Source organism: Homo sapiens, chromosome 14 (genome assembly GCF_000001405.40).
Source record: "Homo sapiens chromosome 14, GRCh38.p14 Primary Assembly".
NCBI lineage: Eukaryota > Metazoa > Chordata > Mammalia > Primates > Hominidae > Homo > Homo sapiens.
In genome coordinates, this window is record NC_000014.9 from 39,652,401 (window position 1) to 39,668,495 (window position 16,095).

General features: G+C 38.4%; 1 long non-coding RNA gene across 13 annotated transcripts in view; it reads left to right on the forward strand.

Annotated features, from left to right (window-relative positions):
• LOC105370461 (uncharacterized) overlaps positions 1-16,095 on the forward strand; it is a 433,650-nt gene that overhangs the window by 220,052 nt on the left and 197,503 nt on the right. For 8 of the 13 annotated variants that reach the window (XR_001750723.2, XR_007064121.1, XR_007064122.1 and 5 more), the window contains 2 exons: positions 2,445-2,540; positions 3,104-3,408. This is a non-coding gene — a long non-coding RNA (uncharacterized LOC105370461). Of the gene's footprint in view, positions 1-2,444; positions 2,541-3,103; positions 3,409-10,274; positions 15,626-16,095 lie in introns of those variants that run through there. The other 5 variants (XR_007064127.1, XR_007064128.1, XR_007064125.1 and 2 more) reach the window with 2 other exon arrangements.

A 16,095-nucleotide genomic window follows, 5' to 3' on the forward strand; every position in this document is an offset into this window, starting at 1 on the left:
TCAGAAAAATGAAATAGATCTCATGCCATATAAAAAACCAACTCAAAATGAATTAAAGACTTAAACATAAGATGTAAACTGTAAAATTACTAGAAGAAAACATGGAGAAAAGTCGATGACATGGCCTGAGAGATTTCTTCAGTATGACCTCAAAAGCACAGACAACAACAGCAAAGATAAACAAGTGAGATTACATCAAACTAAAAAGCTTCTGCATAGCCAAGGAAACAGTTAATGGAGTGAAGAGATAATCCATAGATTGGGAGAAAACATTTGCAAATCAAATGTCTGATAAGGGGCTGATATCCAAAATATGTAAGGAACTCAACTCAATAGCAAGAAAACAACCCAATTGAAAAAAGCAGCGAAGGACCTAAATAGGCGTTTCACAAAAGAAGATACAAATGACCAACAGATATATGAAAAAACTCTTAGCATCATTGATTGTCAGGGAAATGAAAATCAAACCAAAGGGAGCTATCACCTCCCACCTGTTGGTATGGCTATTGCCAAAAAGATAAAAGGTAACAAGTGTTGGAGAGAATGTGGAGGAAAGGGTACCCTTCTACATTGTTGGTGGGAATGTAAATTAATACAGCCATTAGGGAAAAAAGGTATGTTGGTTCCTCAAAAAACTAAAAATAGGATTACCATATGATTCAGCAATCTTATTTCTGGGTGTATATCCAAAGGAATTGACATCAGTGTGTTGAAGAAATATCTGCACTCCCATGTTCATTGTAGCATTATTCATAATAGCTAAATATGAAAGCAACCTAAGTGTCCAACAACAGATGAATGGATAAAGAAAATGTTATACACACACACACACACACACACACACACACACACACAATCAAAATGGAGTATCATTCAGCCTTAAAAAAGAAGGGAATTCTGTCATTTGCAGCAACATGGATGAACCTGAAGGACATTATGCTAAGTGAAATAAGCCAGGCACAGAAAGACCAGTGCCACATGATCTCACTTATATATGGAATCTAAAAAAGTTGAATTCAAAGCAGTTGCGAATAGAATGGTGATTACCAAAGGTTGGAGGTGGTTGGGGAAATGGGAGCTGTTGATTCAAGGATACAAAATTTTAGTTAGAGAGTAGGAAAAAGATGTAGTAATCTGTTGCATGGAATGGTGACTATAATTAATTACAATGCATTGTATATTTTGAAATGGCTTAAAGATTATATTTTAAATCTTCTCACCACAAAAAAATCGGTAAGTATGTGAGGTGATGGAATTTGCTTGATTTAATCATTCACAATGGAAACATATCAAAATATCACATTGTACCACATAAATGCATACAATTATTGTCAACTAAAGCAAAATGTAATTTAAAAATCCACAATGAAAAAAGCATTTGAGTATGCATGTATTTAAAATATGTGCATGGGAAACTAACCTAAAATATTCAAACCAAATGACATTCTGAGAGGAATATTTGTATTATACAAGGTAGACAAAGAGTTATATAACTAGTATGCAGAGATATTTCATAAAATAATAAGAGGAACTACAGTCCATTAGGAAAATGGGTAAAGTATGAACAGATTATACATGTGCAGGCTCACACACATGTGCATGTACACACACAGCCAACGAACTAGGGAAAGATGCTAACTCTCAGTGCTGATGGCGATGGGGGAAATGGGCATTCCTAGACACTGTTAGTATAAGTGTAGAATGGTATAAGCCTTTGTGGGTAATGCCTTGGCATGTATTTTAAAATTTTTAATGTTTATATATTTTAACCTAGCCACCCAAGTTTTTGAAATCTATCACCTAGAAAGAAGAGGGAAACTCACTGCAGCACTGTTTATAAAAGCAAAAAATTAGAAGCAAGTTAAATACCTCTCAGTAAGTGAAAAGTGTATCCATAAAGTGGAACAGTATGCATATATTAGAAAAAGGAGGAAATAATAATGAAAATAATAAGTAAGATTTATTGAGTGCTTACTATGTTCTAGACACAATTGTAAGTGCTCTTTTGAGAATAGGTTTGAAAATAAGAACAAGATAATATATACATGATATATTATGTAAAAAATAAGGTTTCAGACCAATATGAAAATAAATGCAAGTAAATAAATGTAAGTATAAATGTATTATTGTAAAGATCCAAATATTTATATTTTATATATTTCTACATATAGATATGTAAATATAGACATAGTTGTACAAATATAGGAAAAGTTGGGAAGACTACACTGTGAGGTCTTAACAATGATGGGTATTGGATTAGATGGGGGGAGGCTTTTATTTCCTACTTAATTATAGAACCAAGGGATTGTGGGTAATTTTTACTTTTTTGTGTTTTTCAAATAAAAAAATAAATAAAAACATTTTGATGGTGATGGTGCAGGAATAGTAGTGATTTGCTCCACCATGGTAAACATAGCTTGATCTATGAATGTGGTTGTTGACAGAAAATCTTGGAAGAAGAACACTTCTTTGATGACGTTGTCAGAGAGAAATGGATGTTCTCCTAAATGGGAAGCCTTAATTCTGTGTGTAATTTATAAGTAAGAATGCATTTGAATTTTTTTTCCTTTTTTAAAAACTTTTATTTTAACTTCATAGGTACATGTGCAGGATGTGCAGATTTGTTACATAGGTAAATGCGTGTCATGGGGGTTTGTTACACAGATTATTTCATCACCCAAAAATACACTTTAACAACAGACAATAATTATTTCCCTTATTGAGATTGGCAGCCACTAGGGAAAGGGAAATTTTGGTAGTTACGATTGGGAAGATGAAGGATAGAGAGGTATATTTTGAGAAAGAAAGTATAGATGGGGTAGCAGTTTGGATTATTGTGGTGTCACATGAGGACTCTTATCCCGGGGGTTGGATAAAGCAGGTAGCGGTAAATGCTTTTTGATTACTTTTGCATACCTGTCTTTGGTTCTGTTGGTTGTTTTGCCATGAAAGTAATTTAAAATTCTAGTTTAACGATGCCTAAGTTTGAGTATTAGGTCTGATTTGAAGGGATCAAACTTTATTATCAGTGCTTACTTAGCAGTTTAGCTTTATCCAGCCCAGGACTTCCTTAATGTTTCTCTGCTTTCCTTTCTTCCTTCAGAGCCATGGAGAAGAGGAGACAGAGTGTGCAAGGGAATGAAGAAAAGGAACAAGACTATTTTCAAATCACCCATGGCACTACTAGAAATGTATTTCAGCAAAAGGACTGGCTGATTTTATGATTCCTGTGTCCACCACAGCCCTCTAATTTTTACATAGGTACCCCACATCTCTCTAGATTTCAGGAAGACTATTATCCTTCGACTTTAGCTTTCTGATGGGTTCACAAAAAGCCATTAGTGTGCTGTTGGTCCAGCTTTTTTCTGTTGCAAATATGAGAGCTACAGTTCTGAGATGAAACCACAGGTAAGTGTTATGATTTTAAGTAACTGAATACTAAAGTGATGTAGGCGAACTAAATTAAGTACTAAAGAAAACTAGACAGAAGTCTAAAAGATATACGATTAGAAATGATACAGCTCCCAGTATGAGCAACGCAGAAGACGGGTGATTTCTGCATTTCCATCTGAGGTACCAGGTTCATCTCAGTAGGCAGTGCCAGACAGTGGGCACAGGACAGTGGGTGCAGGGCACCGTGTGCGAGCCAAAGCAGGGCGAGGCATAGCCTCCCTCTGGAAGCGCAAGGGGTCAGGGAGTTCCCTTTCCTAGTCAAAGAAAGGAGTGACAGACGACACCTGGGAAATCGAGTCACTCCCACCCTAATACTGCGATTTTCCGAAGGGCTTAAAAAACGGCACACCAGGAGATTATATCCCGCACATGGCTTGGAGGGTCCTACGCCCACGGAGTCTCACTGATTGCTAGCACAGCAGTCTGAGATCAAACTGCAAGGCGGCAGTGAGGCTGGGGGAGGGGCGCCCGCCATTGCCCAGGCTTGCTTAGGTAAACAAAGCAGCCAGGAAGCTCCAACTGGGTGGAGCCCACCACAGCTCAAGGAGGCCTGCCTGCCTCTGTAGGCTCCACCTATAGGGGCAGGGCACAGACAAACAAAAAGACAGCAGTAACCTCTGCAGACTTAAGTGTCCCTGTCTGTCAGCTTTGAAGAGAACAGTGGTTCTCCCAGCACGCAGCTAGAGATCTGAGAATGGGCAGACTGCCTCCTCAAGTGGGTCCCTGACCCCTGACCCCCCAGCAGCCTAACTGGGAGGCATCCCCCCAGTAGGGGCAGACTGACACCTCACACGGCCAGGTACTCCTCTGAGACAAAACTTCCAGAGGAACGATCAGACAGCAGCATTTGCGGTTCACGAAAATCCGGTGTTCTGCAGCCACCGCTGCTAGTACCCAGGCAAACAGGGTCTGGAGTGGACCTCTAGCAAACTACAACAGACGTGCAGCTGATGGTCCTGTCTGTTAGAAGGCAAACTGACAAACAGAAAGGACATCCACACCAAAAACCCATTTGTACATCACCACCATCAAAGACCAAAAGTAGATAAAACGACAAAGATGGGGAAAAAACGGAGCAGAAAAACTGGAAACTCTAAAGAGCAGAGCGCCTCTCCTCCAAAGGAACCCAGCTCCTTACCAGCAATGGAACAAAGCTGGATGGAGAATGACTTTGACGAGTTGAGAGAAGAAGGCTTCAGACGATCAAACTACTCTGAGCTACAGGAGGAAATTCAAACCAAAGACGAAGAAGTTGAAAACTTTGAAAAAAATTTAGATGAATGTATAACTAGAAGAACCAATACGGAGAAGTGCTTAAAGGAGGTGATGGAGCTGAAAGCCAAGGCTCGAGAACTACCTGAAGAATGCAGAAGCCTAAGGAGCCGATGCGATCAACTGGAAGAAAGGGTATCAGTGATGGAAGATGAAATGAATGAAATGAAGTGAGAAGGGAAATTTAGAGAAAAAAGAATAAAAAGAAAAGAACAAAGCCTCCAAGAAATATGGGACTATGTAAAAAGACCAAATCTACATCTGATTGGTGCACCTGAAAGTGACAGGGAGAATGGAACCAAGTTGGAAAACACTCTGCAGGATATTATCCAGGAGAACTTCCCCAATCTAGCAAGGCAGGCCAACATTCAGATTCAGGAAATACAGAGAACGCCACAAAGATACTCCTTGAGAAGAGCAACTCCAAGGCACATAATTATCAGATTCACCAAAGTTGAAATGAAGGAAAAAATGTTAAGGCAGCTAGAGAGAAAGGTCGGGTTACCCACAAAGGGAAGCCTATCAGACTAACAGCGAATCTCTCGGCAGAAACTCTACAAGCCAGAAGAGAGTGCGGGCCAATATTCAACATTCTTAAAGAAAAGAATTTTCAAACCAGAATTTCATATCCAGCCAAACTAAGCTTCATAAGTGAAGGAGAAATAAAATACTTTACAAACAAGCAAATGCTGAGAGATTTTGTCACCACCAGGCTTGCCCTAAAAGAGCTCCTGAAGGAAGCACTAAACATGGAAAGGAACAACCGGTACCAGCCACGGCAAAATCATGCCAAATTGTAAAGACCATTGAGGCTAGGAAGAAACTGCATCAACTAATGAGCAAAATAACCAGCTAACATCATAATGACAGGATCAAATTAACACATAACACTATTAACTTTAAATGTAAATGGACTAAATGCTCCAATTAAAAGACACAGACTGGCAAAATGGATAAAGAGTCAAGACCCATCAGTGTGCTGTATTCAGGAAACCCATCTCATGTGCTGAGACACACATAGGCTCAAAATAAAAGGATGGAGGAAGATCTACCAAGCAAATGGAAAACAATAAAAGGCAGGTGTTGCAATCCTAGTCTTGGATAAAACAGACTTTAAACCAACAAAGATCAAAAGAGACAAACAAGGCCATTTCATAATGGTAAAGGGATCAATTCAACAAGAAGAACTAACTATCCTAAATATATATGCACCCAATACAGGAGCACCCAGTTTCATAAACCAAATCCTGAGTGACCTACAAAGAGACTTAGACTCCCACACAATAATAATGGGAGACTTTAACACCCCACTGTCAACATTAGACAGATCAACAAGACAAAAAGTCAACAAGGATACCCAGGAATTGAACTCAGCTCTGCACCAAGCAGACCTAATAGACATCTACAGAACTCTCCACCCCAAATAAACAGAATATACATTTTTTTTCAGCACCACACCACACCTATTCCAAAATTGACCACATACCTGGAAGTAAAGCTCTCCTCAGCAAATGTAAAAGAACAGAAACTATAACAAACTGTCTCTCAGACCACAGTGCAATCAAACTAGAACTCAGGATTAAGAAACTCACTCGAAACTGCTCAACTACATGGAAACTGAACAACCTGCTCCTGAATGACTACTGGGTACATAACGAAAAGAAGGCAGAAATAAACATCTTCTTTGAAACCAACGAGAACAAAGACACAACATACCAGAATCTCTGGGACGCATTCAAAGCAGTGTGTAGAGGGAAATTTATAGCACTAAATGCCCACAAGAGAAAGCAGGAAAGATCCAAAATTGACACCCTAACATCACAATTAAAAGAACTAGAAAAGCAAGAGCAAACATATTCAAAAGCTAGCAGAAGGCAAGAAATAACTAATATCAGAGCAGAACTGAAGGAAATAGAGACACAAAAAACCCTTCAAAAAATTAATGAATCCAGGAGCTGGTTTTTTGAAAGGATCAACAAAATTGATAGACCACTAGCAAGACTAATAAAGAAGAAAAGAGAGAAGAATCAAATAGACGCAATAAAAAATGATAAAGGGGATATCACCACCGATCCCACCGAAATACAAACTACCGTCAGAGAATACCACAAACACCTCTATGCAAATAAACTAGAAAATCTAGAAGAAATGGATAAATTCCTCGACACATACACCCTCCCAAGACTAAACCAGGAAGAAGTTGAATCTCTGAATAGACCAGTAACAGGCTCTGAAATTGTGGCAATAATCAATAGCTTACCAACCAAAAAGCGTCCAGGACCAGATGGATTCACAGCCGAATTCTACCAGAGGTACAAGGAGGAACTGGTACCATTCCTTCTGAAACTATTCCAATCAATAGAAAAAGAGGGAATCCTCCCTAACTCATTTTATGAGGCCAGCATCATCCTGATACCAAAGCCGGGCAGAGACACAACCAAAAAAGAGAATTTTAGATCAATATCCTTGATGAACATTGATGCAAAAATCCTCAATAAAATACTGGCAAACAGAATCCAGCAGCACATCAAAAAGCTTATCCACCATGATCAAGTGGGCTTCATCCCTGGGATGCAAGGCTCGTTCAATATACGCAAATCAATAAATGTAATCCAGCATATAAACAGAAACAAAGACAAAAACCACACGATTATCTCAATAGATGCAGAAAAGGCCTTTGACAAAATTCAACAACCCTTCATGCTAAAAACTCTCAATAAATTAGGTATTGATGGGATGTAACTCAAAATAATAAGAGCTATCTATGACAAACCCACAGCCAATATCATACTGAATGGGCAAAAACTGGAAGCATTCCCTTTGAAAACTGGCACAAGACAGGGATGCCCTCTCTCACCACTCCTATTCAACATAGTGTTGGAAGTTCTGGCCAGGGCAATCAGGCAGGAGAAGGAAGTAAAGGGTATTGAATTAGGAAAAGAGGAAGTCAAATTGTCCCAGTTTGCAGAAGACATGATTGTATATCTAGAAAACCCCATTGTCTCAGCCCAAAATCTCCTTAAGCTGATAAGCAACTTCAGCAAAGTCTCAGGATACAAAATTAATGTACAAAAATCACAAGCATTCTTATACACCAATAACAGACAAACAGAGAGCCAAATCATGAGTGAACTCCCATTCACAATTGCTTCAAAGAGAATAAAATACCTTGGAATCCAACTTACAAGGGACGTGAAGGACCTCTTCAAGGAGAACTACAAACCACTGCTCAATGAAATAAAAGAGGATACAAACAAATGGAAGAACATTCCATGCTCACGGGTAGAAAGAATCAATATCGTGAAAATGGCCATACTGCCCAAGGTAATTTATAGATTCAATGCCATCCCCATCAAGCTACCAATGCCTTTCTTCACAGAATTGGAAAAAACTACTTTAAAGTTCATATGGAACTAAAAAAGAGCCTGCATCACCAAGTCAATCCTAAGCCAAAAGAACAAAGCTGGAGGCATCACGCTACCTGACTTCAAACTATACTACAAGGCTACAGTAACCAAAACAGCATGGTACTGGTACCAAAACAGAGATATAGATCAATGGAACAGAACAGAGCCCTCAGAAATAACGCCGCATATCTACAACTATCTGATCTTTGACAATCCTGAGAAAAATAAGCAATGGGGAAAGGATTCCCTATTTAATAAATGGTGCTGGGAAACCTGGCTAGCCATATGTAGAAAGCTGAAACTGGATCCCTTCCTTACACCTTATACAAAAATTAATTCAAGATGGATTAAAGACTTACATGTTAGACCTAAAACCATAAAAACCCTAGAAGAAAACCTAGGCAATACCATTCAGGACATAGGCATGGGCAAGGACTTCATGTCTAAAACACAAAAAGCAATGGCAACAAAAGCCAAAATTGACAAATGGTATGTAATTAAACTAAAGAGCTTCTGCACAGCAAAAGAAACTACCATCAGAGTGAATAGGCAACCTACAAAACGGGAGAAAATTTTTGGAAACTACTAGTCTGACAAAGGGCTAATATCCAGAATCTACAATGAACTCAAACAAATTTACAAGAAAAAAACAAACAACCCCATCAAAAAGTGGGCGAAGGACATGAACAGACACTTCTCAAAAGAAGACATTTGTGCAGCCAAAAAAGAAATGAAAAAATGCTCACCATCAGTGGCCATCAGAGAAATGCAAATCAAAACCACAGTGAGATACCATCTCACACCAGTTAGAATGGCGATCATTAAAAAGTCAGGAAACAACAGGTGCTGGAGAGGATGTGGAGAAATAGGAACACTTTTACACTGTTGGTGGGACTGTACAATAGTTCAACTCTTGTGGAAGTCAGTGTGGCGATTCCTCAGGGATCTAGAACTAGAAATACCATTTGACCCAGCCATCCCATTACTGGGTATATACCCAAAGGACTATAAATCATGCTGCTATAAAGACACATGCACACATATGTTTATTGCGGCACTATTCCCAATTGCAAAGACTTGGAACCAACCCAAATGTCCAACAATGATAGACTGGATTAAGAAAATGTGGCACATATACACCATGGAATACTATGCAGCCATAAAAAATGATGAGTTCATGTCCTTTGTAGGGACATGGATGAAATTGCAAATCATCATTCTTAGTAAACTATCACAAGAACAAAAAACGAAACACTGCATATTCTCATTCATAGGTGGGAATTGAACAATGAGAACACATGGACACAGGAAGGGGAATATCACACTCTGGGGACTGTTGTGGTGTTGGGGGAGGGGGGAGGGATAGCTTTAGGAGATACACCTAATGCTAAATGACGAGTTAATGGGTGCAGCACACCAGCATGGCACATGTATACATATGTAACTAACCTGCACATTGTGCACATGTACCCTAAAACTTCAAGTATAATAATAATAATATAAAATAAAAAAAAAGAAAGGATACTTAAGCAATATAATTAAGAAAACAACATCAGCAAAAAAACTCCACTCAGTTTTAAAAAATGATTTTTGGTCGGGCGCCAAAATCCCAGTACTTTGGGAGCCCGAGGCAGGCAGATCACGAAAGAGATGGAGACCATCCTGGCCAACATGGTGAAACACCGTCTCTACTAAAAATGCAAAAATTAGCTGGGCATCGTGGTGCACGCCTGTAGTCCCAGCTACTCGGGAGGCTAAGGCAGGAGAACCATTTGAACCTGGAAGGTGGAGGTTGCAGTGAGCTGAAATCGTGTCACTGCACTCTAGCCTGGCAACAGAGTGAGACTCTGTCCCCCACCCCAAAAAAAGATTTTTAGTTATTTGTCAATATCTATGGAGCATTTACTAAGTACAACATACCTTATTAAATGATTTGCCTACCTTTTAAAATGGAATCTTTTCAGCAACCCTCTGATGTTCTCTTATTATTTCCATTATGAGGAAACTGAAGCACAAAGTATTTGAGTGACTTGCCCAAGGTCATACAACTAACAAATGTTGTAACTGAGACTCCAATACAGGAAATCTGATTTCATAGTGTGTCTTTATTATATTAATAAAGTGAGGCTATCACTTTTTCAGATATTAAAAGGAATCCAATTGAACCAAGAAAGAACATGCTGTAAGAAATAGTTCAATAGCAGAAGATCCTTTAATAGTATGTGAAAGGAGAAATATTCTCATAGTGATGAAAAGAAGAAAAGAAAAGGAAAACCTGTAGGATTTTAGAGCACCCTGACCATCTGACCCAGGCAGACACTTCTAAGAGCTGCATGGAACTGTATTTAAGATCGACAGGAATAAAACTGTCCATCTTATCTTACTTTTCTTTTACATACCCTTAGACTTCTCTCTATTATTCATTGGCAACTCCAGCTCTTGAACTCCGAAAATTCCACCGATGCCATTTGAGCATTGAGAAAATATACTTTTCATTTTAAGTTACATCTTCCTACTGTTTGTAGATGTTACGTGTATTCCATTGCTAAGGAATCATTGTCTTTGCCTGAGGAAAAAGACAGTTTAAAAATAACTTGTGTTGTGATTAGAAAAGTCTTTGTATAAAGATACCTGAAAGAGAGAGAATGCACAGGCACCTGTATAACACATGATGGGTGATAGTTTTCAACTGTGCTTGGCGGGGAAACATTTTGTTTTGTATAGAAATACAGTGTAGACAAGAAAAAAAGTGGTATGTTAATGTGAGGCATATTGGAATGTATTTAAGTATATCTGTTGTTAACAAACTGGATAAATCCACTAAATAGATAACATATGAAATTTACAGGCTGCAGGTGGCCATGGGTCCTCTTTTTCACCTGTTAGTGATGGTGGTGGAGGGGAAGGACGGCATAGGGGAGTAAGGGAAATAGTATTTCCACCAGGAGAATTTTGAAACTGACATGTAAGAAAATACTGTATTTTCTATTCATACCAGTTATGCTTCATACAGATATTGGGTGATTGTGAAGTTATTGTTTGTAAGTCCCTACTATGGTGTTGACTCTATACACTTTACCATATGCCCAGTGTGGGGTGTGTTTGGATGTCTTAGTGTGAGTCCAAGAATTCCAGGGAATTCAAGATATTTTGCAGCATCATTCTTTATTTCAAAGTCTAGTCTAGACTTTTAAATATTTGAATATATTGGACTGTAAACAAAACAATATCTTGTTGAAAAGAACAACCATCTCCATGCAACCTGAATGGATGGAAGCAGTATTATCTTTAGTCGAAATCTGAAACAAAATCTTTAGTCCAAATCTGAAACAAAATCTGCTTCACCAAACTTTCTTGCAGACAAGCAGACTGCTTTGTTTGAAAATGTGAGATTGGAAAATCTGGTTGGAAGTTTTACCTTAAAATTTTTTCTTCCTATGGGGAGGGCATGGGCTCTCCGGTAACTCTTTGTTCTGGCAGCAGGAGGAAGGACATGGCGCTGGTGTCCCGGCTGGAGGAGCCAAGGGTTACCCGGTACCTTTTATTTTCACATTAAAACACTATAGAGAAAAGGATCTGGCTCTCCACCTTTTAATATTGCTCAGTCATTTCTTTATACTTTGTGCTTCAGTGAGCACAGTATGTGGTTTGCTAGGGAAGCTATTAAAAAGAAAACCCTTCAGTTTTATGGATTTTGTCGAAATCTACAGTGAATGCATGTTTTTTAATTCCTTCACAACTACTGTAATTCTCTAAACCTTGGTGAGGACATGCTCAAAAATTGGCTCATAATTTGTAATTTAACAAGTGACAGAATATTTTGACATTAGTAAATGAAGGGAAATGTTTTATATAACAAACCATGATCGTGGCTTTCCATTTTGGTCATTTGTACTGAGCAGATTGTCACAATCAAAGCTCTGGCTGTTAGAAGCCTAGGCCAGTTTTGTTGAAACTTTCCGGGTAACTAAGATCATTCAGGCTTGGCCTTGTATTATATTTAGATTAAAGTGGTTATCCCCTCTTTGTGTTCAGAATGCCCACCCCTCTCCCATCTTTCTTTTTGCTCTAACTTACATAAACTTTTTTGCATGTTTATTTATAATTCGTAGCCTATATTCACCTCTGGGTTTTAACTTCTTGCATTTCATTTCTTAAGAGTCCTTCTCAGCATTTCACCATCTCCTAAGTGTTAGTGAGTAAAGGATGGCAAGAAACTTGACAGAGAAGGTGTTAGTGGGTCAGGGAAAAGTCCAGTGTGGAGGCTATAGTCTTATGGGATGGTAGAGGCCATACTTCTGGTGACTGTATTCATCATCCACTTGGATTCTCTCTCACACAGAGTCTGATTTAGCGTAGACAGTGTCATCTTTTAGTTGGCTTAGAAAAGCTTGACCCCAAATGTACTCTGAGAAGTCCTTAAAAATAAATTTGTATTAATCCAGTAATTCTCTAGATAAGAAACTTAAAATTCTGTAGGAAGTATGTGTGACATACAGAAATAAGTGAAATGGATGACAATGAAACTAACATTGCTTTTTAAATCACCATATGTGCATAAAATACACATGCATAAATAAGGCCCACTGGCTGGCTGAGTATGACTCATGTTTTATACTCATTTTGTTTTCTTGCAATAAGAAAGCTTAACTGGGTAATAAAGCTCCCTCTCTTCTGGTCCCTGAGAAACCAACCTCACAGCTGCAGGTCCCATTTTTAGCTAGGACAAATCTCATCTTATTTAACCAATCTTTCCATAAGTGGCTTCGTTGAGGAAGTTATTACTTTCTGTGGTCTAAATTGCCTAACAGAAAGTCATTTTACCTAAATCCTAGGACCCCTGTGGGAAAATCCCAATTGGTTACTGTGCCTGTAAACTAAATAAGGTACTGACTGGCTCCTCCTTTTAAGCAGAACTAGTTTTAAGATCTTCTCTTACATCACCTTAGTTAAACTTGAAAATTTCCTGTTTGTTATAGCGAGAAAAGCAACTCAATTCTCCTATTTCTAAATATTGTTAGAAAGGGTCTGCTGTTGAATACAATTCAATTCCTAGGACTGTTGTGGGGAAATCTGAATGAATATGTTGCATATTGACCTAGAAATATATTGTAAAATGTGATTTATTTGCAAAGAAGCTCTGAAATTCTGTGCTGTTCGTGAGATACTGCTCCTTTTGTAAACGTTAAAAGCCACAAATCTTTTTTTCTTGTCAATTCAATTGAATACTTAAGAGGATTGCATAATAATTATCCTTTAAAAAATAGGATTAATATTTAACTGTGTTCAGCAAAATTAATTGAAAGCTTCTGCAGTTCAGGCACAAAAATAGTTGTCCAAGTAAACTGCAAAGGCTCCATGTTGCAAAATTATTTAAGCATATAATAATTTTACCTTTCACTTGTGTATGACATTTTACAGATAACTCACTATTAATAAGTATGTATTAAGGTAATTATAAGTACATTCTGCTTTTATAGTTATAAATAAGCCTTCTGGTTCCCCACAATAGAGCTTATTATTATCCCCTTAATGTGGAAGAGTAAATGGAGGCAAAGATTGAGCATTAATTGTAGGACTGTCATCTATCTAAGCTGATTAGTATATGGTGAAGGGATTAATATCTCTGAATAGATTATAATTTTGATATCTATGACTTATCTCTAATAATGTTCAATTCTTTACCATATCAGCAAAATGGAATCATTTGCAGTTAAAAAAATACCCTTGTAATGGCTTTAAAACACGACCAATCGATTCTCTGATACTCCTTCATTAAGAGGTAGGATCTTTATCCCTTTTCCTTGAATTAGGGCCTTGTGACTGTTTGACTAATAGAACACAATGAAAGTCCCACTGTGCCCATTTCTGGCTTGGGCTTTAAGAAGCTAGCAGCTTCTATTTCCTATCTCTTAGGATCATTGCTCTTGGAACCCAGCTACCATGCCACAAGGAAACCTAAGCAGCCAGTGCAAAACCCCTCATGGGCACCTGCACATAGCTCTAGTTGAACTTCTAGTTGATAGCCAGCTCCCACTTGCCAGCCATATGAGTGAGTCATCCTGAAAGCAGGTCCTCCAGCCCTCCCTCAGCTGAGCTGCCCTTGATGACATTGTGTGGAGCACAGATTAATGATTCCTGTTGATCCCTGCCCAAATTTTAGATTTGTAAGGAAAATAAATGATTACTGTTTTTTAAGCCACTAAGTTTTGAGGTGTCTTTTTTTTTTTTTTCTTTTTGGAGACAGAGTCTCACTCTGTTGCCCAGGCTGGAGTGCAGTGGTGTGATCTCAGCCCACTGCAACCTCCGCCTCCTGGGTTCAAGTGATTCTCCTGCCTCAGCCTCCCAAGTAGCTGGGATTACAGGCACCTGCCACCACGCCTGGCTAATTTTTGTATTTCAGTAGAGATGGGGTTTCACCATGTTGGTCAGGCTGGTCCCGAATTCCTGACCTCAAACGATCTGCCCACCTCAGCCTCCCAAAGTGTTGGGATCACAGGCATGAGCCACTGCTCCTGACCCTGAGGTGATTTTTAATGCAACAATAGATAACTGGAGCATGCTCTAAGGAAATGGCAACGTTCCTAGCTCTCTTCTCTTCAGTGTCACCAAAGCTAGGTGCTGTTCTACAGTTTAACTCTTGATGCTAATGGCTTGGAAAGAAAGAGAGTGAACACAACAGGTTTCCAGGGGGAGGCTCGGAGTTCTTACTCAGTATTGGTGGGACTGTACTTGTTTTAGGATGATGCATCATAGCCTAATCTAATTTACTGAGCATCTACTAAGTGCCAAGCACAGTTGTAGCTCTAACAGGGCCAGCTTTGCTGTTTCTAGTTCTGCTTAGGCTACTAACCCACCATGTGGTCTCGACAGACTATGCTGAGCTAAAGTATCCCATTTCTTTTTCTGTGTAAAATAAGAGGGCTTGGATAAATGTTCTCTCAGGTTCTTCCAGCTCAAACACAATATTATTTATTCCTTATATATTCTGAATATGTATACTTTAAAACTTTAGCTGCTCCACTTGAAAATCTAAGTTTTTATTGTCCTCCTCAAAGGACTCCTTGCTTCATTATCTAATGTTTTTCCCTTTGAAGAGAGTATTTCATTCCTAAGAGGGGTTTAAAAGAAGATTCACCTGGTCTGAACCTGATATTCTCCAAATGACAATTCTCTAACCTAAATTTAAAAACACAAGCAAAAAAGGACTGAGAAGCTGAGATGAGGAAGCTCTGTTGGGCAAGTCAAAATGGGGCCAATAATATTTACTTCACAGGGTTATTAAAAGAGATAACATATGTAAAGCCCATAGTTCAGAGCCTGACGCTTAACAGACACTCAACAAGGGATGTTCTTATTCTTTTTTTCTTGAGAAACGAGCTAATCATTTGAAATGTAAAATTTTGTTCATGGAATTGCATAAGATACCATTCTATTTCTACAACTATTTCTGTAGTCTTAAATGCCCTGCATTAAAAGATTGTTGTTTAATATATTGTACCTCTTTTGCCATCTATTTGTTAAATATTGGCTGCCTGGTTTCTGATTTTGCTGAATTTGACTTTTTTAAAAAAAAACCTAATTGTTTTCTTCAAGAATACAAGCCAACATTGTAAAGGATGATTTACTCTAAGATAATGCTGAAAGAGATGTGGTATGAAATTTTGTTAAATTTATAAGATAAATTTGGGATATTCTTTTACTGGACAAACTTTTTATTAAGAATATATTGTTTCTTGAAACACTAAGTTTTGGGATAAGTTATTAAAACAAATTTGGGAGTGGCTTAGTTGGGTGTTTCTCACTTGGATCTCTCATGAGATTGTAAACAAGATGCTAGCCAGCGCTACAGTCACTTGATAGCTTGTCTCAGGGATTTGCTTCCATTGGTTCATTCATGTTCAGGCAAGTTGGTGCTGGCAATTGTCAGGAGACACCAGTTTCTGGTCATGTGGATCTCTTC